The 27,062-nt window shown below is 57.1% G+C and overlaps 1 long non-coding RNA gene, 1 gene segment (V, D, J or C) and 1 further gene; 2 read left to right on the top strand and 1 right to left on the bottom strand.

Moving 5' to 3' along the window:
- Positions 1-27,062, top strand: part of IGH (immunoglobulin heavy locus) — a 1,293,408-nt gene that overhangs the window by 1,108,385 nt on the left and 157,961 nt on the right.
- Positions 55-5,546, top strand: IGHG3 (immunoglobulin heavy constant gamma 3 (G3m marker)). 2 transcript variants are annotated; one of them is given in 9 exon segments: positions 55-348; positions 741-791; positions 935-979; positions 1,123-1,167; positions 1,311-1,355; positions 1,474-1,803; positions 1,901-2,215; positions 3,517-3,647; positions 5,463-5,546. In that variant, coding segments are annotated over 9 exon segments (1,340 nt in total), but the record flags the coding sequence as incomplete, so codon positions are not given.
- On the bottom strand, positions 5,464-11,967 carry LOC105378184 (uncharacterized). The gene is made up of 3 exons (XR_001751029.3): positions 11,768-11,967; positions 7,851-8,522; positions 5,464-7,401 (listed from the first exon to the last, which is right to left on the bottom strand). It is a non-coding gene; the product is annotated as an uncharacterized LOC105378184 (long non-coding RNA).

Raw genomic sequence — 27,062 nt, 5'->3', positions numbered from 1 at the left:
CCTGGGCCCAGCTCTGTCCCACACCGCAGTCACATGGCGCCATCTCTCTTGCAGCTTCCACCAAGGGCCCATCGGTCTTCCCCCTGGCGCCCTGCTCCAGGAGCACCTCTGGGGGCACAGCGGCCCTGGGCTGCCTGGTCAAGGACTACTTCCCAGAACCGGTGACGGTGTCGTGGAACTCAGGCGCCCTGACCAGCGGCGTGCACACCTTCCCGGCTGTCCTACAGTCCTCAGGACTCTACTCCCTCAGCAGCGTGGTGACCGTGCCCTCCAGCAGCTTGGGCACCCAGACCTACACCTGCAACGTGAATCACAAGCCCAGCAACACCAAGGTGGACAAGAGAGTTGGTGAGAGGCCAGCGCAGGGAGGGAGGGTGTCTGCTGGAAGCCAGGCTCAGCCCTCCTGCCTGGACGCATCCCGGCTGTGCAGTCCCAGCCCAGGGCACCAAGGCAGGCCCCGTCTGACTCCTCACCCGGAGGCCTCTGCCCGCCCCACTCATGCTCAGGGAGAGGGTCTTCTGGCTTTTTCCACCAGGCTCCGGGCAGGCACAGGCTGGATGCCCCTACCCCAGGCCCTTCACACACAGGGGCAGGTGCTGCGCTCAGAGCTGCCAAGAGCCATATCCAGGAGGACCCTGCCCCTGACCTAAGCCCACCCCAAAGGCCAAACTCTCTACTCACTCAGCTCAGATACCTTCTCTCTTCCCAGATCTGAGTAACTCCCAATCTTCTCTCTGCAGAGCTCAAAACCCCACTTGGTGACACAACTCACACATGCCCACGGTGCCCAGGTAAGCCAGCCCAGGCCTCGCCCTCCAGCTCAAGGCGGGACAAGAGCCCTAGAGTGGCCTGAGTCCAGGGACAGGCCCCAGCAGGGTGCTGACGCATCCACCTCCATCCCAGATCCCCGTAACTCCCAATCTTCTCTCTGCAGAGCCCAAATCTTGTGACACACCTCCCCCGTGCCCACGGTGCCCAGGTAAGCCAGCCCAGGCCTCGCCCTCCAGCTCAAGGCAGGACAAGAGCCCTAGAGTGGCCTGAGTCCAGGGACAGGCCCCAGCAGGGTGCTGACGCGTCCACCTCCATCCCAGATCCCCGTAACTCCCAATCTTCTCTCTGCAGAGCCCAAATCTTGTGACACACCTCCCCCATGCCCACGGTGCCCAGGTAAGCCAGCCCAGGCCTCGCCCTCCAGCTCAAGGCGGGACAAGAGCCCTAGAGTGGCCTGAGTCCAGGGACAGGCCCCAGCAGGGTGCTGACGCATCCACCTCCATCCCAGATCCCCGTAACTCCCAATCTTCTCTCTGCAGAGCCCAAATCTTGTGACACACCTCCCCCGTGCCCAAGGTGCCCAGGTAAGCCAGCCCAGGCCTCGCCCTCCAGCTCAAGGCAGGACAGGTGCCCTAGAGTGGCCTGCATCCAGGGACAGGTCCCAGTCGGGTGCTGACACATCTGCCTCCATCTCTTCCTCAGCACCTGAACTCCTGGGAGGACCGTCAGTCTTCCTCTTCCCCCCAAAACCCAAGGATACCCTTATGATTTCCCGGACCCCTGAGGTCACGTGCGTGGTGGTGGACGTGAGCCACGAAGACCCCGAGGTCCAGTTCAAGTGGTACGTGGACGGCGTGGAGGTGCATAATGCCAAGACAAAGCCGCGGGAGGAGCAGTACAACAGCACGTTCCGTGTGGTCAGCGTCCTCACCGTCCTGCACCAGGACTGGCTGAACGGCAAGGAGTACAAGTGCAAGGTCTCCAACAAAGCCCTCCCAGCCCCCATCGAGAAAACCATCTCCAAAACCAAAGGTGGGACCCGCGGGGTATGAGGGCCACATGGACAGAGGCCAGCTTGACCCACCCTCTGCCCTGGGAGTGACCGCTGTGCCAACCTCTGTCCCTACAGGACAGCCCCGAGAACCACAGGTGTACACCCTGCCCCCATCCCGGGAGGAGATGACCAAGAACCAGGTCAGCCTGACCTGCCTGGTCAAAGGCTTCTACCCCAGCGACATCGCCGTGGAGTGGGAGAGCAGCGGGCAGCCGGAGAACAACTACAACACCACGCCTCCCATGCTGGACTCCGACGGCTCCTTCTTCCTCTACAGCAAGCTCACCGTGGACAAGAGCAGGTGGCAGCAGGGGAACATCTTCTCATGCTCCGTGATGCATGAGGCTCTGCACAACCGCTTCACGCAGAAGAGCCTCTCCCTGTCTCCGGGTAAATGAGTGCGACGGCCGGCAAGCCCCCGCTCCCCGGGCTCTCGGGGTCGCGCGAGGATGCTTGGCACGTACCCCGTGTACATACTTCCCGGGCACCCAGCATGGAAATAAAGCACCCAGCGCTGCCCTGGGCCCCTGCGAGACTGTGATGGTTCTTTCCACGGGTCAGGCCGAGTCTGAGGCCTGAGTGGCATGAGGGAGGCAGAGCGGGTCCCACTGTCCCCACACTGGCCCAGGCTGTGCAGGTGTGCCTGGGCCGCCTAGGGTGGGGCTCAGCCAGGGGCTGCCCTCGGCAGGGTGGGGGATTTGCCAGCGTGGCCCTCCCTCCAGCAGCAGCTGCCCTGGGCTGGGCCACGGGAAGCCCTAGGAGCCCCTGGGGACAGACACACAGCCCCTGCCTCTGTAGGAGACTGTCCTGTCCTGTGAGCGCCCTGTCCTCCGACCCGCATGCCCACTCGGGGGCATGCCTAGTCCATGTGCGTAGGGACAGGCCCTCCCTCACCCATCTACCCCCACGGCACTAACCCCTGGCAGCCCTGCCCAGCCTCGCACCCGCATGGGGACACAACCGACTCCGGGGACATGCACTCTCGGGCCCTGTGGAGAGACTGGTCCAGATGCCCACACACACACTCAGCCCAGACCCGTTCAACAAACCCCGCACTGAGGTTGGCCGGCCACACGGCCACCACACACACACGTGCACGCCTCACACACGGAGCCTCACCCGGGCGAACCGCACAGCACCCAGACCAGAGCAAGGTCCTCGCACACGTGAACACTCCTCGGACACAGGCCCCCACGAGCCCCACGCGGCACCTCAAGGCCCACGAGCCGCTCGGCAGCTTCTCCACATGCTGACCAGCTCAGACAAACCCAGCCCTCCTCTCACAAGGTGCCCCTGCAGCCGCCACACACACACAGGCCCCCACACACAGGGGAACACACGCCACGTCGCGTCCCTGGCACTGGCCCACTTCCCAATACAGCCCTTCCCTGCAGCTGGGGTCACATGAGGTGTGGGCTTCACCATCCTCCTGCCCTCTGGGCCTCAGGGAGGGACACGGGAGACGGGGAGTGGGTCCTGCTGAGGGCCAGGTCGCTATCTAGGGCCGGGTGTGTGGCTGAGTCCCGGGGCCAAAGCTGGTGCCCAGGGCGGGCAGCTGTGGGGAGCTGACCTCAGGACACTGTTGGCCCATCCCGGCCGGGCCCTACATCCTGGGTCCTGCCACAGAGGGAATCACCCCCAGAGGCCCGAGCCCAGCAGGACACAGCACTGACCACCCTCTTCCTGTCCAGAGCTGCAACTGGAGGAGAGCTGTGCGGAGGCGCAGGACGGGGAGCTGGACGGGCTGTGGACGACCATCACCATCTTCATCACACTCTTCCTGTTAAGCGTGTGCTACAGTGCCACCGTCACCTTCTTCAAGGTCGGCCGCACGTTGTCCCCAGCTGTCCTTGACATTGTCCTCCATGCTGTCACACACTGTCCCTGACACTGTCCCCAGGCTGTCCCCACCTGTCCCTGACACTGTCCCCCACGCTCTCACAAACTGTCCCTCACACTGTCCCCCATGCTGTCACAAACTGTCACTGACACTGTCCCCCATGCTATCCCCACCTGTCCCTGACACTGTCCCTGACACTGTCTCTCATGCTGTCCCCACTCATCTGCGACACTGTACCCCACGCTGTCCCCACTTGTCCTCAACAATGTCCCCCATGCTGTCCCCACCTGTCCCTGATGCTGTCCCCCACACTGTCCCAATCTGTCCCCACCACTCTCCCCCACGCTGTCCCCACCTGTCCCTGACACTGTCCCCCATGCCATCCCCATCTGTCCCGACAATGTCCCCAGGGTGTCCCCAGCTGTCCCTGATGCTGTCCCCCACACTGTCCCCACCTCTCCCTGACGCTGTCCCCCACGTGGTCCCCACTTGTCCCTGATGCTGTCCCCCACACTGTCCCCACCTGTCCCTGACACTGTCCCCCATGCCATCCCCATCTGTCCCGACAATGTCCCTATGGTGTCCCCAGCTGTCCCTGATGCTGTCCCCCACACTGTCCCCACCTGTCCCTGACGCTGTCCCCCACACTGTCCCCACCTCCCCCTGACACTGTCCCCCACACTGTCCCCACCTCTCCCTAACACTGTCCCACACACTGTCCCCTCCTGTCCCCAACACTTTCCCCCATGCTGTCCCCACCAGTCCCCAACACTGTACACCATGCTTTTCCCACCTGTCCCCAACACTGTCCCCCATGCTGTCCCCTCCTGTCCCCAACAATGTCCCCCATGCTGTTTCCTCCTGTCCCCAACACTGTCCGCCACTCTGTTTCCTCCTTTCCCTGACACTGTCCCCCACTCTGTCCCCACCTGTAGCCAACACTATCCCCTACGCTGTCTCCACCTGTCCCTGATGCTGTCCCCCACACTGTCCCCACTCCTCCCTGACACTGTCCCCTATGCTGTCCCCACCGGTTCCTAACACTGTCCCCCACACTGTCCCTACCTGTCCCCGACACTTTCTCCCATGCTGTTCCCACGTGTCTCCAACACTGTCCCCCACACAGTCTCCACCTGTCCCTGACACTGTCCCCCATGCTGTCCTCACCCATCTCTGACACTGTACACATACTGTCCCCACCTGTCCCTGATGCTGTCCTCCATGATGTCCCCACCTCTCCCTGACACTGTCACCCATGCTGTCCCCACCTGCCCCTGACACTCTCCTCCACGCTGTTCTCACCTGTCCCCAACACTCTCCCCCACACTGTCTCCACCTGTCCCTGACACTGTCCTCCACGCTGTCCCCACCTATCCCTGACACTGTCCCCCATGCTGTCCTCACCTGTCCCCAACACTCTCCTCCACACTGTCCTCACCTGTCCCCAACACTCTCCCCCCACACTGTCTCAACCTGTCCCTGACACTGTCCCCCATGCTGTCCTCACCTGTCCCTGACACTGTCCCCCATGCTGTCCTCACCTGTCTCTGACACTGTCCCCCGTGCTGTCCCCACCTGACACTATCTTCTGTGCTGTCCACATGCTGTTGCTGCCCTGGCTCTGCTCTCCATGTCCAGGCCTCAGAGCAGGCAGTGGTGAGGCCCTGGCACATGGGTGGCATGAGGGGCCGGATAGGCCTCAGGGGCAGGGCTGTGGCCTGGGTGGCCTGAGGGGTGAGCAGGCCTCGGGGGCAGGGCTGTGGCCTCGCTCACCCCTGTGCTGTGCCTTGCCTACAGGTGAAGTGGATCTTCTCCTCGGTGGTGGACCTGAAGCAGACCATCATCCCCGACTATAGGAACATGATTGGGCAGGGGGCCTAGGGCCACCCTCTGCGGGGTGTCCAGGGCCACCCAGATCCCACACACGAGCCGTGGGCCATGCTCAGCCACCACCCAGGCCACAACTGCCCCCGACCTCACCGCCCTCAACCCCATGGCTCTCTGTCTTTGCAGTCGCCCTCTGAGCCCTGACACGCCCCCCTTCCAGACCCTGTGCATAGCAGGTCTACCCCAGACCTCCGCTGCTTGGTGCATGCAGGGAGCTGGGGACCAGGTGTCCCCTCAGCAGGATGTCCCTGCCCTCCAGACCGCCAGATGCTCACACAAAAGGAGGCAGTGACCAGCATCCGAGGCCCCCACCCAGGCAGGAGCTGGCCCTGGAGCCAACCCCGTCCACGCCAGCCTCCTGAACACAGGCGTGGTTTCCAGATGGTGAGTGGGAGCATCAGCCGCCAAGGTAGGGAAGCCACAGCACCATCAGGCCCTGTTGGGGAGGCTTCCGAGAGCTGCGAAGGCTCACTCAGACGGCCTTCCTCCCAGCCCGCAGCCAGCCAGCCTCCATTCCGGGCACTCCCGTGAACTCCTGACATGAGGAATGAGGTTGTTCTGATTTCAAGCAAAGAACGCTGCTCTCTGGCTCCTGGGAACAGTCTCGGTGCCAGCACCACCCCTTGGCTGCCTGCCTACACTGCTGGATTCTCGGGTGGAACTGGACCCGCAGGGACAGCCAGCCCCAGAGTCCGCACTGGGGAGAGAAGGGGCCAGGCCCAGGACACTGCCACCTCCCACCCACTCCAGTCCACCGAGATCACTCAGAGAAGAGCCTGGGCCATGTGGCCACTGCAGGAGCCCCACAGTGCAAGAGTGAGGATAGCCCAAGGAAGGGCTGGGCATCTGCCCAGACAGGCCTCCCAGAGAAGGCTGGTGACCAGGTCCCAGGCGGGCAAGACTCAGCCTTGGTGGGGCCTGAGGACAGAGGAGGCCCAGGAGCATCGGGGAGAGAGGTGGAGGGACACCGGGAGAGCCAGGAGCGTGGACACAGCCAGAACTCATCACAGAGGCTGGCGTCCAGCCCCGGGTCACGTGCAGCAGGAACAAGCAGCCACTCTGGGGGCACCAGGTGGAGAGGCAAGATGCCAAAGAGGGTGCCCGTGTTCTTGCGAAAGCGGGGCTGCTGGCCACGAGTGCTGGACAGAGGCCCCCACGCTCTGCTGCCCCCATCACGCCGTTCCGTGACTGTCACGCAGAATCCGCAGACAGGAAGGGAGGCTCGAGCGGGACTGCGGCCAGCGCCTGCCTCGGCCGTCAGGGAGGACTCCCGGGCTCACTCGAAGGAGGTGCCACCATTTCAGCTTTGGTAGCTTTTCTTCTTCTTTTAAATTTTCTAAAGCTCATTAATTGTCTTTGATGTTTCTTTTGTGATGACAATAAAATATCCTTTTTAAGTCTTGTACTTCGTGATGGGAGCCGCCTTCCTGTGTCCACGCGCCTCCTGCCCCCGGTGGGAAGCACATTCAGGAGGAGGCTGGTCCAGCTGCACCTCGGGGGCTCCCTGCATACGCCCCCCGCCTCCTGCAGCCACACGCATTGCCCGAGCGACCCTCCCTGGCCCCTGTCGCTACATGGACCCCCGGGGCTTCTCCTCTTTTCTACATGGATGCAGTTTCTCCTCCTGCTGGGCACGGTGCTGCCTGCCCTGGTCACTCTGCGGGGGACAGGGCCTCCAGGGAAAGCTGGGTCGAGGCTGGGAGCTGGCTCAGGCTGGCCAGGCAGAGCCACAGGGAGGGCCTTCCAGAACCAACCATGGTCCGAAGCGAGAGGTGGGTGTCAGATCTGTGTGCGTCAGCTCAGGACCACAGCGGGGCGGCTCCCACAGCAGACATGGATCCTCCCAGGCCTAGAGACCAGGAATCTGAGATCAGGATGCAGGCAGGGCTGGTTTCTCTCAAGCCCTCTCTCCTTGGCTTGTAGACACCGTCTCCTCCCTGGTCCTCACGTGGCCATCCCTCTGTGTGCCCGTGTCCTAAGCTTCTCTTCTTATAAGAACACACATCAGATTAGATTAGTGACCCCCTATGAACTTAATGACCTCTGTAAAGACCCCATCTCCAAATAGTCACATTGTGAGGCCAGGGATTAAGACTTGAATATATGAATTTGTAGGGGCCACGATTTAACCCATCACAGTCCAGACTCTGGCCCCCAAAATTCATGTTCTTCTCACATGCAGAATACATTCATCCTGTCTCAGCATCCCCCTGGGCACTAGGTCATGTAGCAAGGACGGATTTTCAACAGAAATAACTATTGCAACAGAAGAAAGAGTCCGGCATGACCTGGACTCACCTTCATCTGTGCAGAGGCCACAGCCTTGTAAAGGGAGGTGGTAGGGGGAGCAGGGTGGGTGCTCGGGGCTCAGTCGTCGGGGAAGGGAAAAGTTGCCCAGCGCTGGTCAGCGTCCCCGGGATGGGACCCGCTGTGTCCGTGCCGGCCACTGTTGAGGTCAGGATTCTGTCCTCCCAGAGCCTGGAGACACAGGCCCCATCCTTCCCAATGGGGACACTTCAGGGAGCGGCTCTCAGGTCCCGAGAAAGACCCTCCTGGGTCACAGGAAATGCACAGACATCGGGAACAGACAGAAGGACGTGTGGTTGCGGCCCTCTCAGCAGATACCCTGAGAAAGGGAGGTCGGGGTTGGTCCAAACGGTGAGTTCTGGTGCACGGAGCTTTCTCAGGCAGGTGTTGACGGGGCAGGGGTCGGCCTAGGGGTACGGCCAGAAGCTGTTAGAAACTGTTAGTGTCTGCTCAAGTCTTTACAAGCCAAGGTTGAGGCCGAGTGGAGAGGCTCCGAGGAGCCTGGCTGGAACTCAGTCAAGGACAGGGTCTTGTTACTGCAGTGGCTGCGGTGGCTGCGGTGGCTGGAAAATGCCGTCGGAGTTGCCTGTGGCAGGAGAGAGACCATCTCACCCAGGAAGGAGGAGTGGTTGGATTCGTTTGTGTGGCATCGAGCAGCTGGAGCTTCACCAAACACAGAGTTGGGGACTAAATCCCCAGACTCCAGGCCCTGCCATGCCGTGGGAAGGCTCGCCACTGGAGGGTGGGCTCCAGGGGGCCTGGCCTGAACTGGGTGCTGAAGCCCAGCCCTTTAACTCTCAGGACACGCTGCTGCAGCCCCGCGGGGGGTGAGGGAGACAGCACCTGGGGTGCAGGGCGGGCAGCTGCTGCATCACCGGCTCTATCCCAAGCCCAAGGATGGCGTCCCAGAGATGCAGGAGAGCTTTGTCCAGAGAAGGTGCCAGCCCTCAGGGACCCTGCTGGAGAGATCTCCACCCTCTGCCCTTCAAGGGGCCCTACGGGCTTCCGGGTGCCCTGGTGGGGTGGGCTCCAGTCCACTGTCTGAGGATGGACGGCCTGGCCAGGATAAGGAAAGGAAACCCAGGACGGTGCCGGGCTCCGGGTCATTCCGTGCACTGAGCAGGCTGAGTTGGGAAGAAGCAGATGCTTCCTGCAGCTCCTGCCCCTGCAGGGCCTGGCGCCTGGACCAGGTTCCCCTGGGGAAATTGGGCCCCTCCCTGAGCCACCCGGGGCCCACCGCCCCCTTTCCACCTGGGACCGAGCATCCTCCAGAGGGTCAGCCCTCCTGAGGGAACACCATGCCCAGCCCCAGGACCCTCCCTCAACTCTCCAGCAAGGCTGCACTGTGGGCGGCCCCTGCACATACCCCAGCAGTCCATGCTGTGATGTAACATGACATGGTGTGACGTGGTGTGATGTCTCTGGTGTGACGTGGATGTCATGTGGCATGATGCGACAGGACATGGTGTGATGTTGTATGATGTGGTATGACGGTGTGATATCCGAGGGGTGATGTGATGTGGTGTGACATGGTGTAATGTCCCTGGTGTGAGGTGGCGTTGGACATGCTGGGATGTGGTGTGACACAGTGTGACATCCCTGGTGTGATGTGGTGTGATGAAGCGTAACAGGCTGTGACATAGTGTGACGTGGTGTGATATAATGTGATGTGGTGTGAGGTGGCGTGACATGGTGGGATGTGGTGTGACATGGTATAATGTCCCTGGTGTGAGGTGGTGTGATGTGGTATGATGGGGTGTGGCAGGGTACGACATCCCTAGTGTGATGATAAGTTTCATGGTATGATGTGGCGTGACATCCCTGGCGTGACATAATGAGATGTGGTGTGACATGGTGTGGCATTCCTGGTGTGACTCCTGTGTTCTGACATTTGTGGCCACCCCAGGATACAGAGGTCCCTGTAGCCAAGGGAAGGGGGAGAATAGAACCATCTGAGCATGTTGACCTGGAGGAATTGGTGGCCCTTGAGTCCACGAAGCCCACCCTGCCAGGTGCCCCTGCCCCACGTGACCCAAGTGGGCTTGCAGAGCAGCAAGCAGGACTCTGGTTAGACTGCAAGAAGGACCTGCCACCACGTGGCCTTGTGAGGAGACACAGAGCAAGGCAGTGACCTCAGCGTCCACCCAGCACAGGGTGCTGCTGAAGCTCCTCCTGTCCTCTCAGCAGCGGTCTCAGAGCAAGGCCCAAGGCAGGCTGAAGAGAGGGGCAGAGGGAGGATGCTGGGGAGGCAGGGGTGAGGGGAGTGAGAGCCCAGGTTTCAGCTGAGCCCCTGCACAGGGAAGGAGGCTAGCTGAACACCCATCTCCCCACACACTCCCAACCCTGCCTCTGCCCGAACACCTCCCAGAAGGCACCTCAAACTCTGCTACCCACACTCAGCAAGGGGTATGGTGTCCCCACCGAGTCCAGCCAGTGAGGCCCGGCACAGCCATGCCTGTGCCGACCACTCCCATGGCCAAGCTCCCTGCTAACATGGTAGGACAGAGCCAGGCCTGGAGGAGACAGAACATCAGTCCCATGGGGAAGCTCCCTGCTCACATGGCAGGGCCGGGCCTGGAGGAGACAGAACGCCCCGTCTGGTATGGTACTCAGGCTGCACATGCCTGCCACGCACGGGGGCCATGTGGCACACACGGGTACTCACACGGTCCTCACACAGGGACACACGCACTTGCAACCCCAGCACCCACCCAGTGCACTCATGCACGGGCTCCCCAGGTGGGTCACAGTCTCACGCCTTGAGCTACTCCATGTGCCAGGCCCTTCACCCACATTCCCGTCCCCGGTGCCAGCTGTTGAGCCACACCGTCTTCTCTGTGGATCCCTCCCAGCCCGCTCAGCACAATGGACATGCTCTCTCCAGTCCAGCAACTGCACTGGCCTCTTCCCCTCAGAATCCACGTCTGGCCATCTCCCAGGAAACCCGGACCACCACGGGCAGGGACCACCTTCTCACTGTCCATGTGGACCACCCCACACCTGACCCCAGGCAGAGTCACACTACGACCTGCTTCAATATTGAAAAGGGGAAAAGCTGGAGGAGGGGAAAGATGAAAGAGAAAAAAGCAAGAGGGGAGGGTCACATTCTTGTGAGGCTTTGATTAGAGTTCACTGAGCCCCCACGTTGCATGAAAAGGAGGGGTGGAGGGAGCAATTACGCATTCGCCTTGTGCTCAGTAAATCTGCACTTTATAAGCAAATAAACAGAGTAGAGGAAGAAGTCAAATATGCATTCGTCTCAGGGGTAGGAGGAACGATTTCTTGTCTCATTTTGTCCCATGTCATGAAGACCGGCCTGTTAATTTATATTCTCAGGGTGAGGGAGGCCACCTGGGTAGACCTGGCCTATCTGCTGCTGCTATCACTTTGGAAACAAAAGGAAAGGCATGACTTTTTTTTTTTTTCATGACTCAGCTTCCCACCTCAACTGTTCATTTTGGCATAGTGAGTTTGGAGTCCTGAGATTTTATTTTCCTTTCACAATGGTCAAGGTCGCACCCTCAGTATTCAGGAGAGCTGGTCCAACCCAGACCCCTGCCGTCCCTGGACGCTTTTCAAATACGTGCTGCAGTCTCTGACACTCTCTCACCATGGTAGAAACTGAGGTCTTGGTGAGCCTGCAAGCCCCTGCTCATGGGGACAATGCAGGCTGAAACCCGCATTTCTGACCCCAAAGCTCCTGTTCCTTTCACTCACCCCCACACCAGCTCTTTGAGTCCAGAGCTTTGTCCTTGCCTGAGTCCTACCCTCAGGGACAGGGGCCCAACCCAGACACCAACACATCATACCCTGAGAGGGTGCCAGGAGCCCAGAGATGTTTGGAGAGCACAGAAGCCCTGGAGGCTCTGTGGAGATGCTGCACATTTCTCTATTCAACAGATACTCACCAGGTGGCCAGCGGCAGAGATGCCACATGGCATGGAGCTCGCCTTGGCCAACAGGACAGGTGTGGGGTTGGGAGGCCTTCCCAGGGCACTCCTTGAAGCAGAGCTGTGGGGAAAAGTTGGGGCCAACCTCAGATCTCCTCATCAACACCGGTTCTCCTGCCCTCCTGGGCCACAGAAAACTAAGCTCCCTGGATACTGCGGCTGGGTGGGGCCATGAGGGAGAAGAAATCACAACGAGTTAAAAGATCATTTTCTAAAACTGTTATGATCAGGACTCACATAAACATATGACGACACATTTCAGAGATGCTCTTTATCTCATTAATTAAGGTGTCGTAACCAGTTCAAAGTGGAATTCTAAGTACTACACTTACATAATTGATTCAGGAATGCTAAAAGGAGTTCATAGATAGATGCAAAACTGGCCTTTTCCCTGGAAGATGAGGAGCAATTCATTGTCCTTCCAAAGGTGAGAACTTGAATTTCTACCAACTCAAAGAGCTTTTGCATTGCTATCAATTATGTACAACTTAGAGCAGTAGTCCCCAACATTTTTGGCACCAGGAACCAGTTCCATGGAAGACAATTTTTCCACAGACCAGGATCGGGGGATGGCTTGGGGACAAAGCTGTTCTACCTCAGATCATTAGGCATTAGGATTTCACGAGGAGTGTGCAACTTAGATCTGGGAATGTGCAGCTCGCAATAGGGTTCGCTCCTATGAGAATCTAATGCTGCCACTGATCTGACGGGAGGTGGAGCTCAGGCAGGAATGCTCACACACCCCTCACCTCCTGCTCTGTGGCCCAGTTCCTAACAGGCCATGAGCAGATTCCAGTGCATGACCCAGGGGTTGGGGACCCCTGGCTTATAGAGGTGTAAAATAGTTCAAAGGAAATAAAAGATGCAGAGCTCCATAGAATGAAATAACTTGGAAGAGTGTACAAGACGATGCCTTGCTTTCCATGGAAGGCACCTACTAATCTTTTGGTCCATTTCAGTTCTTCTTAATGCTTCCTATAAACATATATAACTGACTGACACAAACAGATCCATAATATAAAGAAGACCACTGTAAACCAATGAGAAAAAAAATCAAATAATCCAACAAGGAATAGGCAAGAGAATTGAACAGATGTTTTACAGAAGATATCCAAATAGCCACTAAACATATGAAAAGATGTTGAACCACACTAGTCAACAGGGAAATGAAAATGAAAAACCACATGAGAGAAAGTAGTTCTGATTCCAATAATTCTGGAGCAGCTAATATCAGACTAGCCCTTTGGCAGATGGCAATTATAAACACTAGAAACGCTGTAAGCACACACAACACCCACACACACCAATTGCAGGCACTGGAACATGACCAGAAGTAGGCAAACACTAGTAAGGATTATTCCGTTAAATATTCGTCTGAAGTCACACTCCAGGGCATGTAATGGGTACAGCTAGAGTTCAAGCAGGAAACTGCAGCCCTCCTGGTGAGGAGTGGGATGCCGGGCTACATTTTCAGAGCAGCTGGAAATGAAGAGAAGATGTCCATAAAGGAGAAGGTCACCGAAGGGAAACCCCACAATCTGCAAGTAAACTCCACTGAAACCTCTGGCTGATCCCTTAGGTGTGCATGGGTAGGGAAAACTCCAAAGGGCCCAGCAGAAAGCAACACGTGTAAGGTCAAGAGAACTGAGATTCCAGCTACTGCCAACTGCCAGGCAGACAGACTGGGGAGTTTGAGTCAACTCAAGCTAACTGCTTGCTAACATTGAAAAAAACAATTAATGTTCTGCTAAGGAAGAATGCAAACCCCATAGCCTGTACACATGTTAACAACATCAGGTGCACATCCAAAATTACCAGGTATGCAAAGAAATATGAAAATGTGATCCATAGTTAAAAGAAAAAGGGATCAATGGAGATCAACTCCAAGATGACCTAGATGCAGATACAGTTATCAGACAAGGACTTTAAAGAAGTTATGTTAAATATGTTCAAAGACTTAAAGGAAAATATGGTTATCATGAGTGACTAGATGAGGTATCTCTATAAAAAACTGAAAATAGTTACAAGAAGCAAATGAAAATTCTAGAACTAAGAGTATGATTCGGAAATGAAAAACATCATTTGACCAGGCCCAGTGGCTCATACCTGTAATCCTAGCACTCTGGGAGGCCAAACATGGAAGGATCACTTGATCTCAGGAGTTTGAGACCACCCTGGGCAACATGGTGAAACCCCATCTCTATTTTATTAAAGAAGAAAAGAAAGAGAAAAACATTACCCAAGTTTAATAACAGATTGGACAAGACATAAGAAGGAACTGAAAACTTAAAGATGCATCAATAGAATATGTCAATTCTTTTTAATCCAATCCAAAGAAGAGAGAGAAAAATACTAAAAAATGAAAAGAGACTCATCCTGCTGGACAAGGTGAAGCATTCTAAAACATGTGAAACTGGAGTCCAGAGGGGGATGTAATACTTCCATGGGAAAGGTCAACCCTAAGCTATATGCAAATGTACCTGCGTAGGCTGGTGTGGTGGGCTGATGGCATCTCCCTGGCCAAATGTATGCCCACCTGGAACCTCAGAATGTGACCTTATTTGGAAATGGGGTCTTTACAAATTAGGTTAAGGACTTGAGATGATATCATACTAAATTTTGGATGGATCCCAAGTCCAAACACTGGTGTCCTCATAAGAGGAGAGGACAAAGACATACATGGAGGTAAGCCATATGATGACAAAGGAGAAGATGAGCGGTGTGTCAGGAGCCACCTGTGTTTGTCCATTTGCATTACTGTAAAGAAATACCTGAGGCTGAGTAACTTATGAAGGAAAGAGGTTCAATTGGCTCACAGTTCTGCAGGCTGTATAGGAAGTATGGCACCAGCATCTGCTTCTGGCGAGGACCTCAGGAAACTTACAGTCATAGCAGAAGGTGAAGGGAGAGCAGGTATGCCACATGGCAAGAATGGGAGCAAGAGGCTGAGGGGGGGCCCCAGACTTAAACAACTAGACTGTGTGTGAGCTGACTGGGGCAGAATTCACTCATCACCAAGGGGATGATTCTAAATCATTCATGAGGGATCTTCCCCCTTGATCTAATCACCTCCTACCAGGCCCCACTTCCAACACTGGGAATCATATTACAACATGAGATTTGGAGGGGACAAATATATAAACCATATCCTTCCACCCCTGGTCCCCCAAATCTCATGTTGCAAAATACAATCATGCCTTCTCAACAGTCCCCCAAAGTCTTACCTCATTCCAGCATCAACCCAAATTTCCCAAGTCCCAAGTCTCATCTGAAGATGAGTCCCTTCCACCTATCAGCCTATGAAATCAAACACAAATTATTGACTCCCAAAATACAATGAGAGTGCAGACATTGCGTAAACATTCCCATTCCACAAGGGAGAAGTTGGCAAAAAGAAAGGATCTACATGCCCCATATATGTCAGAAATCCAGCAGGGCAGTCATTAAATCTTAAAGCTCCAAGGTAATCTCCTTTGACTTCATGTCCCATATCCAGGGCACATTGGTGCAGGGGGTGGGCTCCCAAGGCCTTGGAAAACTCTACCCTTGTGGCTTTGGAGGATGTTGCCCCTGTGGCTTCTCTCACATGATAGAGTTGAGTGCCTGTGGCTTTTCCAGATTCAGGGTGCAAACTGCCAGTGGATCCACCATTCTGGGGTCTGGAGGACAGTGGCCCCCTTCCCACAGCTCCACTAGGCAGTGCCCTGGTGGGGACATTATATGGGGGTTCAACCCCACATTCTCTTTGGCACTGCTCTAGTAGAGGTTCTCTGTGAGGGCTCCATGCTGGCAGGAGGCTTCTGTCTGGGCACCTAGGCTTTCTCATACATTTCTGAAATCTAGAGGGAAGATGCCAAGCTTCCTTCACTCGTGTATTCTGGGGGCCTACAGGCTTAACACCAGATGGAAGTCACCAAGGCTTATAGTGGCTTGCACTCTCCAAAGAAGCAGCCTAAGCTATACTTGGGGCCCTTTGAGCCAAGGCTGGAGCCAGAGGAACCAGGATGTGGAGAGCAGTGTCCCAAGGCTGCACAGGCAGCAGTGGCCATGGCCATGGCCCACAAAACCATCCTTTCCCTCTTGGCCTCTGGGCCTGTGATGGGAAAGACCACCTCAGAGATTTCCAAAATGCCTTCAAGGCCTTCTTCCCTTTGTTCTGGATATGAGCACTTAGCTCCCTTTTAGTTATGCTAATCTCTCTAGCAACTGGCTGCTCCATAGCCTACTTATATTTGTCTCCTGAAAATACCTTTTCTTTTCTACCATATGGCCAGGCCATGAATTTTCCAAATTTTTTATGCTCTGCTTCCCTTTGTTGATGAAAAAAGCCAAACTCTATAAAACACTTGACGAGATTGATTCTGAGCCACATGTGAGAGCCATGAACTGTGGCACAGCCTCAAAAGGTCCTGAGAACATGTGTGCAAGGTGCTTGGGTTGCGGCCTGGTTTTATGTTTTAGGGAGACATGAGACATCAATCAATACATGTAAAGTATACATTCGTTTGGTTTGGAATGGCAGGACAATTCAAAGTGGGGAATTCCAAATCATAGGTGGATTTGAAGATTTTCTGATTGGCAATTGGCTGAAAAATTTAAATTATCTAAAAAGTTGAAGTCAGCAAAAAGCAATGCTTAAGATAAAGCAGGTTGTGGAAGCCAAGGTTCTTGTTATGTAGATGAAGCCTCCACGTTCCAGAGAGAAGAGATGGTCAATGTCTCTTATCAGAACCTAAAAGGTGCCAGACTCTTGGATAAATCTCTCCTGAATCAGGAAGAGACCTGGAAAGGGAAAAAGATTCTCGACAGAATATACATTTCCTCCACAAGAGACGGCTTTGCAGGGCCATTCCAAAATGTGTCAGAGAAATATATTCTGGCATAAAATACTTTAATTTCCTTCCATGCCTGCCAACTGTCATGTGATGCTATACCAGAGTCAGGTTGGAATTTGATATCTTATTGCTACAAAGAGTCTGCTTTGTCAGTCTTAAGCTCCCTGTTTTAATGTTAACACCGGTCAGCTGAGCCTAAACTCCAACAGGGAGAGGGTATAGTGAGGGAGTCCAAACCACCCTCCCCTTCCTGTCATGGCCTGAACTGGTTTTCCAGGTTTCTTTGGAATCCCCTTGCATTAGCATTTTATTTTTTCATTTGCACCTTTTAAATATCAGTTCCAACTTTAAGTCATTCCTTTGCTCCCATATCTTACCATAGACTGTTAGAAGCAACCAGGTCACACCTTAGAAATGTCTGCTTAGAAGTATCTTCCACCAGATGTCCTAAGTCATCACTCTTAAGGTCAAACTTCCACAGATCCCTAGGGCATGAATACAATGCAGCCAAGTTGTTTCTTAGGATTTAACAAGCGTGACCTTTACTCCAGTTCCCAATAAGTTCCTCATTTCCATCTGAGATTTCATCAGCCTGGCTTTCACAGTCCATATGTCTATCAGCATTTTGGTGACAACCATTTAATCAGTCTCTAAGAAATTCCAAACTTTCCCTCATCTTCCTGTCTTCTTCTGAGTCCTCCAAATTCTTCTAACTTCTCTGCCTGTTACCTGATTCCAAAGCTGCTTCCAAATTTTCAGGTATCTTTATAGCAATGTTCCACTCCTCAATACCAAATTTCTGTGTTAGTTTGTGTTACTAGAAAAAAAAATACATGAGGCTAGTAATTTATAAAGAAAAGAGGTTTAGGCCAGGCACTGTGGCTCATACCTGTCATCCTAGCATTTTGGGAGGCAGAGGCAGGAGGATCACTTGAGCTCAGAAGTTTGAGACCAACCTGGGCAACATAGTGAGAACTTGTCTTGAAAAGACAAGAAGAAGGGAAGGGTGGGGAAGAGCAGAAGGGCAGAAGGGCAGGGCAGAAGGGAAGGGCAGGGAAGGCAGAAGAGAAGGAAGGAAGGGAGGTTTAATTAGTTCATATTTCTGCAGGCCGTTCTGGAAACACGGCCCTGGCATCTGCTTCTGGCGAGGCCTCAGGGAGATTGCAATCACAGCAGAAGGCGAAGGGGGAGCAGGCATGTCACATGGCAAGAGGGAGCAAGAGAAGAAAGTGGCACGTCCCAGACTTTTAAACAACCAGCTGTCACAGGGACTAACTGAGGGAGAACTCGCTCATCACCTGGGAGATGGTGCTAGGCCATTCATGAGGGGTCCAGCCCCATGATCTAATCACCTCCCACCAGGCCCACCTCCAACACTGGGAATCACATCTCAACATGAAATTTGGAGAGACGCACATCCAAACTATTGCACCACAGGAAGCTGGAAGAGGTGGACGGTCCTCCCCTGGAGCACTCAGAGACAGCCACCAACACCTTGATCTCAGATTTCTGACTCCCAGAACTCTGAAAAAATTTTTGTTGTTTTAAGCCACATTTGTGATATTTTGTTACGGCAGCCACAGCACGGATATAGCTGGTAACAGAGTTCTTTAGCCTCCAAAATACAAGCCTGGGGTAAATAACTATTGAATTTGGCCACATGGAAATCAGGAAGAATGTAATAAGCATCATCGATGGACGGGATGACCTGGGAGATCGTGGCAAGTTTAAAGCTAATTGGAAGTTGGCAACCAAAAAATCCTGTCTTGCAAATGGCCAGGAAATTGCCAAGAAAACCTTTAGAAAACATGGTTAAAGATGGAGAAACCCGGATGACTCCCTGGTTTCTGAAGAGGTGCTTAGGCATTGAAGTGAGACTGATGAGACTTCACACTGTACCCTTCAGAAGGGCAGACACTCACGAGATAATCAACCACGGCTCCCTCGCTGGGAGGCAGACACAGAGCTGGAGGCGGCGGCCACAAACTAGGTGGGCAGAGAGGCGTCAGCATCGGGACTTGCGGGAGGCCCTGGGAAGGAACAGGCAGCGGTGGGGCCTGGACAGCCCTGGGGAAAGGAAGTTACTTGGAGGAGACCAGGGGCTTGCATTTGGGCCAAAACCAAGGACAAGAGATCAGCTGGTCCCAGGGAACTCTGGAGCCCAACACCCCACCACGGGTGCAGGGGCCTGACAACCCAACAGAGGGCTGTGGGCACCGGGCACCAGCCTGTGGGGGGTCTGAAGGCTGCTGCCCAGCCACACATGTCCTGGTTCTGAACAAAGGGTTCAAGAGACACCTGGAAACCTACCCTTCTGAGAGCAGCCTCTTAGCCTCAGCTGGTATTGGCCCCTGGTCACCCCACATGCCCCGACAGTGGGGCCTGGCCTCAGAAAGGGGCCCCTCCATTTGTACTTTCTATCTGATCCTTGACACAGTGCTAACACCAAAGACCAAACCCGAATCTTGGTTCACATACTCTGCAAAGAAATGACTAAGACAAGTTCTTCCGGAGGTCAGTTTTAGAACATTATTCTGACTTAATTCTGCCTTATCTCTGTGCAACAAGAAAACTATCTGCACATCTGTAGTAAAATGTGAAGGTACCTTCATTTTGTTTGTATACTAAACTTTTAAGAAATACCTCACTTTTTAAAACTTGGTTTTGTGTTTTGTATGCTTATAATATTTTCCATAATAGATCATTTTAATGATAAACTCTGAATCTTCTGACAGAATGCAGATCAATGGATTCCTGGCCATCAGGGAGGCGTTGATTGCAAAGGGGCCTGGTGGAATATTTGGAGAGATTCTACATCTTCTTGCAACTGTTCATCTGGATTACGGTGGTGGTTGCATGAGTGTGCATTTGTTGAAACTCACATGTCACAGGATGGATTATACTGAATGTAAACTACACTTGCGTAAATATGACTTTTAAAACTTTAAAAAGTTGGGGGATGGTTCACTGCCCCGGCTCGAAGCCCCCTGGCCACGCTGCCTGGCCAGCCCACCCGCATCCCTGCCAGCGCTTGCCTCCAGCGTCCCAACAGCCTCCTGACCCCCTGGGCTGCTCTAAACCCTCAGGAGCGCAGCCATCCGGGATCAGCTGGATGGAGATGGGGAGCCCGAGACTCGTGCCACACCACGTCCTCCCACCCCCACCAGCCACACGCAGACGTCAAAGCAGCACTGTCCTCGCACGCGCTGCTCCCACCCACCCTGGCATGGCCATTCCAGGCCTGGGGCAGGAAGGCAGATGCTCCCCCTGCCCCCAGACACAAGCATTCCTGCACATACCCCCAGCACACACACACACTCCCATGCGCACACTGACACACACAGGTGTGTGCAGCTGAGACACAGCCCATTCCCAGGCAGTCCAGCCCCCGTCACTGAGGGAAAGGGGCAGCACCACGGGGCCACAGGAGTGGCAGCTGGACACAGAGCCAGGCGCTGGCGAAGGCCCAGGCCACTGAGGCGGGCTGCCGGCATGGCTGGGCGTGAAGGCCAGAAGAGGGCAGGAGGGGCCGTAGGCACTGTGCCTATTGGGCCTAGGTGGGCACACGCCTGGCAGGAGAGGAACAGCCCAGCCCCTGAGGAAGGGGTGGGGGCAGGGGCCATTTCTGGAGGCCAGGGCAGGGCCAGCACCCCAAGGAAAAGCAGAGCAGGGTGAGAACGGACATGGGGCTCAGAGCTGAGCAGGCCTGCTGGGCCCCAGGAGGGAGACACAGACGACCGGGGATCTCAAGGCTGGCAGAGGCCAGAGATGGAGCCCCACCTGGGATGCCATCCTCCTTCCTGGGGGCCCACCCTGCCCGGCCCCTCCAGCCCAGCACAGCTTGGGGCATTGGATAGAACCGGGAGAGAGCCGACCAGGCACTGAGGCCCCTGCCCCAAATGCCCACAGCCTGGGGAAAATGAGCAGGTACATGGGAGGGGCAAGTGGAGCCCCAGGCACACCCACACAGTGCACACGGCCTCACCTGGGCCGGAGGGGGCAGGAGGCTCGCCACCCCGCTGTGGTTTCTCTCCTAATCTCACCCTGGGTTTCTGCCACACTTGATGCAGGTGATGTTTCTCTGACATTGTGGACTAAGAGTTGGTGCTGGAAGGGGTTAGCCATCTTGGAGATGTTGCTATGGGGTGCAGGGATTTTGCGTGTGAGAAGGACATGATTATGGGGGGAGCGGAGGGCAAACTGTCATGGGTTAAAATGTGTCCCCTATAAATTCATGTGTTGAAGTCCTAACCCCCAGGACCACAGAATGTGACCTTGTTTGGAAACAGTCTTTGCAGCTGCAATCAAGTTCAGATGAGGTCACCCTGGAGTAGCGCAAGCCTCTGATCCAATATGACTGCTGTCCTCATGAAAAGGGGGAATCTGGGCACAGACAGCACGTGGGGAGAACGCCCTGTGAAGATGGTGCTGCTTCCATAAGCCAAGAGCAGCAGAGACGGCCGGCAAAGCCCAGCAGCAGGGAGAGAGCCTGGGACAGAGTCTCCCATGACACAGAGGTGCCAGCCCCACCGAGGCCTCCATCCCAGATGCCCGGCCTCCAGAACCAGGACGGAATAAACGTCTGTTGTTTAAGCCACGCAGTCTGGGGTGCTGTGTTGCCAGGGCCACAGTTAACGGATACGAGTGTTGTCCTGAGCTGCCAGCCCCACAGGCTGCACGAGGCCTCCCTGCCCCAGCCCAGTGCAGACTCCCCAGCCCCCTGGGTGTGCCATGGGCAGTGCGGGGACCCCTCACTCCGTCCTCCCCCAGCCTGGGAGGTTGAGCCCATTATGAGCTCCATGGGGTGAAGCTGGAACGAGAGGCTGGGAGCCGACTGGGAGCCTGCGGCTGGAGGATGGATTTCCCCAGGGACCCACACGTGCACCTCCACCTGTCTCCTGGACATTCTCTCTGAGGGCAGGGCTGGTGCCAGCTCAGGGATCCAGCAGGGTCACAAGGGCAGGCCGGGTCCTTGTGGAGAGCACATTTAGTGGGAGGGACATGATTTCCCTTCAAAGTGCCCATTCTGGACGCTTCCCGTTCCATGCTGGACGCTTCCTCTTCCACGCTGGATGCTTCCTGTTCCACACTGGATGCTTCCTGTTCCACGCTGGATGTTTCCTGTTACACTCTGGATGCTTCCTGTTCCACACTGGATGCTTCCTGTTCCATCCTGGATGCTTCCTGTTCCATGCTGGACATTTCCTGTTCCACTCTGGATGCTCCCTGTTCCATGCTGGATGCTTCCTGTTCCATGCTGGATGCTTCCTGTTCCATGCTGGACATTTCCTGTTCCACTCTGCATGCTTCCTGTTCCACTCTGGATGCTTCCTGTTCCATGGTGGACGTTTCCTGTTCCACTCTGCATGCTTCCTGTTCCATGCTGGATGCTTCCTTTTCCATTCTGGATGCTTCCTGTTCCATGTTGGATGTTTCTTGTTCCACTCTGGATGCTTCCTATTCCATTCTGGATGCTTCCTGTTCCATGCTGGACATTTCCTGTTCCATGCTGGATGCTTTCTGTTACATCCTGGATGCTTCCTGTTCCATGCTGGATGTTTTTTGTTTGACTCTGGATGCTTCCAGTTCCATTCTGGATGCTTCCTGTTCCATGCTGGATGCTTCCTTTTCCATTCCGCACAATTCCTATTCCATTCTGGACACTTCCTGTGCGACACCTCCTTGGGTTTTCTGTCTGCCCAGTCCCTCTATCCTCATCCCGTTCCCTGCTACCTCCCACCTCCACAATCGTCCTTGCCCAGCTCCTCCCTCTCTCTAGAGCTTCGGCCTGGCAAGGTCCCTCCTGATCTCAGTCCAGGCTCCCCCAGCACAGGTAGGAGCCTAGCACCTGCCCTTGGACCTCCCCACCCTGCATGGTGCCAGCATCCCCCGGTCCCCAGGGAGGCCCCATTTCTCTCTCTGCTTGTAGTCCAGTGGCCCTGGAGTCCCACTGCAACTCGGGTGTGCCCCTGACCTCTGAGGAAGTTAAGTGTCCTGTCCCTAGCCAGGCTATCCCGTCTGCTCAGCCCCAGGGCCCTGCCCCCAACCCCTTCCCCTCACCTGCACCACAGGCTCTGGCCAACTCTGCCCAGGCCCTGAATGGGCCCCTCTGGCTCCCCTCTGCTGCTACACTGCCCTGCACCACCTCCACTCAGCTTCAGTGTGTTCATCCACCTGTCCCAAGTCCCCTCGGCCCCCAGGAGCACAGCTGGTGGCCCTGGCTCCTGGCAGCCCATCTTGTTCCTTCTGGAGCACCAGCCTCAGAGGCCTTCCTGTGCAGGGTCCACTTGGCCAGCCCTGGGACCCTCCTGGTCTCAAGCACACACGTTCTCCCTGCAGCCAGACCTGCCCCTGCCTGTGAGCTCAGCCCTGAGCCTTGGAATGCCTTCCCATCTCCATCCCAGCTCGCCTTTGCCAGCTGCTCAGCAGGATGAACTCACACTCCCCTCCCTGCACCATGAGTCAGAGCCAGCTGGAGACACGCCCAGGCCAAAGCAGCCACCAGGGCCTAGTGGGGGCCAGAAGCTTCAGATGAGAGGCCCAGGTATTGAGAGGCTGAGATCACGGGCAGAATGGTCATAATCGCTGCCAGTATCAGTCCAGCCCCAGGGACTCAGAGACAGAGAAAAGAGCAGCACACAAGGTCTGGGCTCCCCACCTTCTCCCGTGAGTACGGGGGAGTATGGGGGCAGCCACCACCCCCATCCCCACACACCCATGAGGCAGCCTCGGCTGTGTCTGGACTCCCCCTCGCCCTCTGACCCAGAAACCACCAGAAGAAAAGGGAACTTCAGGAAGTAAGTGGTGCCGCCGGTTTCAATCCTGTTCTTAGTCTTTGCAGCGTGGAGTTCACACACCTGGGGACCTGGGGGCCGAGCTGTGATTTCCTAGGAAGACAAATAGCGGCTGACGGCAGGGGCGGGGCTGCCCACATGTACCTCGCCAGAACAGGAAGGGCTGAGACCCCCACCTCGGTGAGTGGGGTCAGCACAGGGCAGGGGCACAGGCTCGGGAGGAGGACAGAGCCTGGGGGCAGCCGTGGGCGCTCCTGGACCTGAGATGCTGAACAGGCTCCAAGAGGCTGGGGAGACATGGGGTCGAGGCCGGCCCCACATGGAGGCCCAAGCGGAGCCAGCACGGGGGAGGTGGGCAGCCTTCAGGCACCGATGCCCACCCAGTGCGAGACGACGGGGACCGTGGGCAGGGGCTTCCAAGCCAACAGGGCAGGACACACCAGAGGCTGACTGAGGCCTCCAGGACGACCGGGCTGGGAGCACGAGGAACATGACTGGATGCGGCAGAGCCGGCCGTGGGGTGATGCCAGGATGGGCACGACCGACCTGAGCTCAGGAGGCAGCAGAGCGAGGGAGGAGGAGAGGCCCCAGGTGAACGGAGGGGCTTGTCCAGGCCGGCAGCATCACCGGAGCCCAGGGCAGGGTCAGCAGTGCTGGCCGTGGGGCCCTCCTCTCAGCCAGGACCAAGGACAGCAGGTGAGCCGGGAGCAGAGCAGGGAGGGTGAGTGTGGCAGCAGGACAGGAGGGTGGAAGCCAAGGAGCCCAGAGGCAGAGGCAGGGACAGGGGAGGCACAGGGGCTGGGCTCAGAGCCAGCTGATGGGGTTGGGGCACCTGCTGGCGGGGAGCAGGGCTGTGGTCAGCAGTGGAGAGGAGGGGAGAGCTGTGCTGAGTGCACGGGCGGGAGAAGGGAAGAGTCCAGGGAGGCCCAGAAAGGCCCAGAGTGCAGCAGGCCTGGGGCGAGGGGAAGGGCTGAGGCTCCGTGCGTTCAGGGAACTGACCCAGCAGAGCAGAGGCCACTGAGGAGCTGAGGTTCCAGAGAGGCTTCCAGAGCAGGAGCAGTGCAGGGACAGGAGGATCCGGGAGCTCATTCAGGAGGGGCACATGGGCAAGGGCAAGGGGCTCTGTTGGGGAGACCTGACTGGACACTGGGGCTGCTCCACAGCATAGGGAACACGCCAAGTGCTGCAAAATCAAAAATGAGGGCAGAAAAACAGCCCAAACCTGGACAGAGGGTGCCAGGACAGGCAGGGGGGCAACAGTGACCTGAGTGACATTGCTGCCCGGGTTGAGGGAGGGCAGAGTGAGCAGGGAGCAGGCATTGGAGCTCAGGGACCAGGACCAAGCAGCCACAGGTGAGCAGGGCAGGTGGGGGCAGAAGGAGCAGGGGGCACCTCCTGGAGCTCAGGGGACCAGGGCAGAGCAGCCTCAGGTGAGCAGGGGCTGGTGGGCGGCAGGATGAGCAGGGGGAAGACCCTGGAGCTCAGGGGACCAGGGCAGAGCATCAGAAGGTGAGCATGGCTAGTGGGAGATGGGCAAGCAGGGGGCAGCCCCTGGAGCTCAGGGGACCAGGACAGAGCATCAGGAGGTGAGCATGGCTAGTGGGAGGTGGGCGAGCAGGGGGCAGCCCCTGGAACTCAGGGGACCAGGGCAGAGCAGCCGCAGGTGAGCACGGGCTGGTGGGAGGCGGGAGGAACAGGGGGCAGCTCCTGGACTTCAGGGGACCAGGGAGGGCATCTGAAGGTGAACAGGGGCCAGTGGGGGGCAGGATGAGCAGGGGGAAGCTCCTGGAGCTCAGGGAGCCAAGGCAGAGCAGCCGCAGGTCAGCAGGGGCAGGTGGGAAGCATGGGGAGCAGGTGGGCAGCCCCTGGAGCTCAGAGAGCCAGGGCAGATCATCCACAGGAGAGCAGGGGCTGGTAGGAAGCAGGAGGAGCAAGTGGGCAGCTTTTGGAGCTCAGAGCACCAGGGCAGAAGAGCCTCAGGTGAGAAGGGGCAGGTGGGAGGCAGAATAAGCAGGGGACAGCCCCTGGACCTCAGGAGACCAGGGCAGAGCATCACAACGTCAGCATGGCTGGTGGGAGGTGGGCGAGCAGGGGGCAGCCCCTGGACCTCAGAGAGCCAGGGCAGATCTGCAGGTGAGCAGGGGCAGGTGGGAGGCAGGAAGAGCAGGAGGCAGCTCCTGGAGCTCAGGGGATCAGGGCAGAGCAGCCACAGGTGAGCAGGGGCAGGTAGGAAGCAGAAAGATCAGGGGTCAGCCCCTGGAGCTCAGGGGACAAGGGGAGAGCATCAGAAGGTGAGCAGGACTGAGGCTCAGCCTCAGGGAGCCAGGGCAGAGCAGCTGCAGGTGAGCAGGGCCGGTGGGAAGCAGGAGGAGCAGGTGGGCAGCCCCTGGAGCTCAGAGAGCCAGGGAAGATCATCCGCAGGTGAGCAGGGGCTGGTGGGAAGCAGGAGGAGCAAGGGGCAGCTCCTGGAGCTCAGGGGACCAGGGCAGAGCAGTCGCAGGTGAACAGGGGCAGGTGGGGGGCAGGAGGAGCAAGGAGCAGCTCCTGGAGCTCAGGGGACCAGGGCAGAGCAGTCGCAGGTGAACAGGGGCAGGAGGAGCAAGGGGCAGCTCCTGGAGCTCAGGGGACCAGGGCAGAGCAGCCGCAGGTGAGCAGGTGCAGGTGGGGGGCAGGAGGAGCAGGGGGCAGCTCCTGGAGCTCAGGGGACCAGGGCAGAGCAGCCGCAGGTGAGCAGGGGCAGGTGGGGTGCAGGAGGAGCAGGGGGCAGGCACTGGAGCTCAGGGGACCAGGGCAGAGCAGTCGCAGGTGAACAGGGGCAGGTGGGGGGCAGGAGTAGCAAGGGGCAGCTCCTGGAGCTCAGGGGACCAGGGCAGAGCAGTCGCAGGTGAACAGGGGCAGGTGGGGGGCAGGAGGAGCAGGGGGCAGCTCCTGGAGCTCAGGGGACCAGGGCAGAGCAGCCGCAGGTGAGCAGGTGCAGGTGGGGGGCAGGAGGAGCAGGGGTCAGGCACTGGAGCTCAGGGGACCAGGGCAGAGCAGCCGCAGGTGAGCAGGGGCAGGTGGGGGGCAGGAGGAGCAGGGGGCAGGCACTGGAGCTCAGGGGACCAGGGCAGAGCAGCCGCAGGTGAGCAGGGGCAGGTGGGGGGCAGGAGGAGCAGGGGGCAGGCACTGGAGCTCAGGGGACCAGGGCAGAGCAGCCGCAGGTGAGCAGGGGCAGGTGGGGGGCAGGAGGAGCAGGGGGCAGGCACTGGAGCTCAGGGGACCAGGGCAGAGCAGCCGCAGGTCAGCAGGGCCGGTGGGAGGCAGGACGAGCAGGGGACAGGCACTAGAGCTCAGGGCAAGGCAGCCACAGGTGAGCAGGGCTGGTGGGAGGCATCACTCAGCTCCTAGACTTTGGCAGGAGCTGGGTAGTTGCTGGCAACAGACAGCTGAGGGCTGGTGAAAGTGCAGTGCAGCCTCCTGGTGCCGGGAAGGGAGTGTGAGTCCATCCCACTGAGCAGTTGGCAAGGGCGAGCTGGGATGGAGAAGGGAAGGCGTTCCAGGGCTCAGGGCTGAGCTCTCAGGCAGGGGCAGGTGTGGCTGCAGGGGGAACGTGTGCTTGAGACCAGGAGGGTCCCACGGCTGGTC

This window comes from Homo sapiens, chromosome 14 (assembly GCF_000001405.40).
Source record: "Homo sapiens chromosome 14, GRCh38.p14 Primary Assembly".
In the NCBI taxonomy this organism is placed as follows: domain Eukaryota; kingdom Metazoa; phylum Chordata; class Mammalia; order Primates; family Hominidae; genus Homo; species Homo sapiens.
The sequence above is the reverse complement of the archived record's forward strand: the minus strand, read 5'-3'. Positions and strand labels throughout refer to the sequence as shown.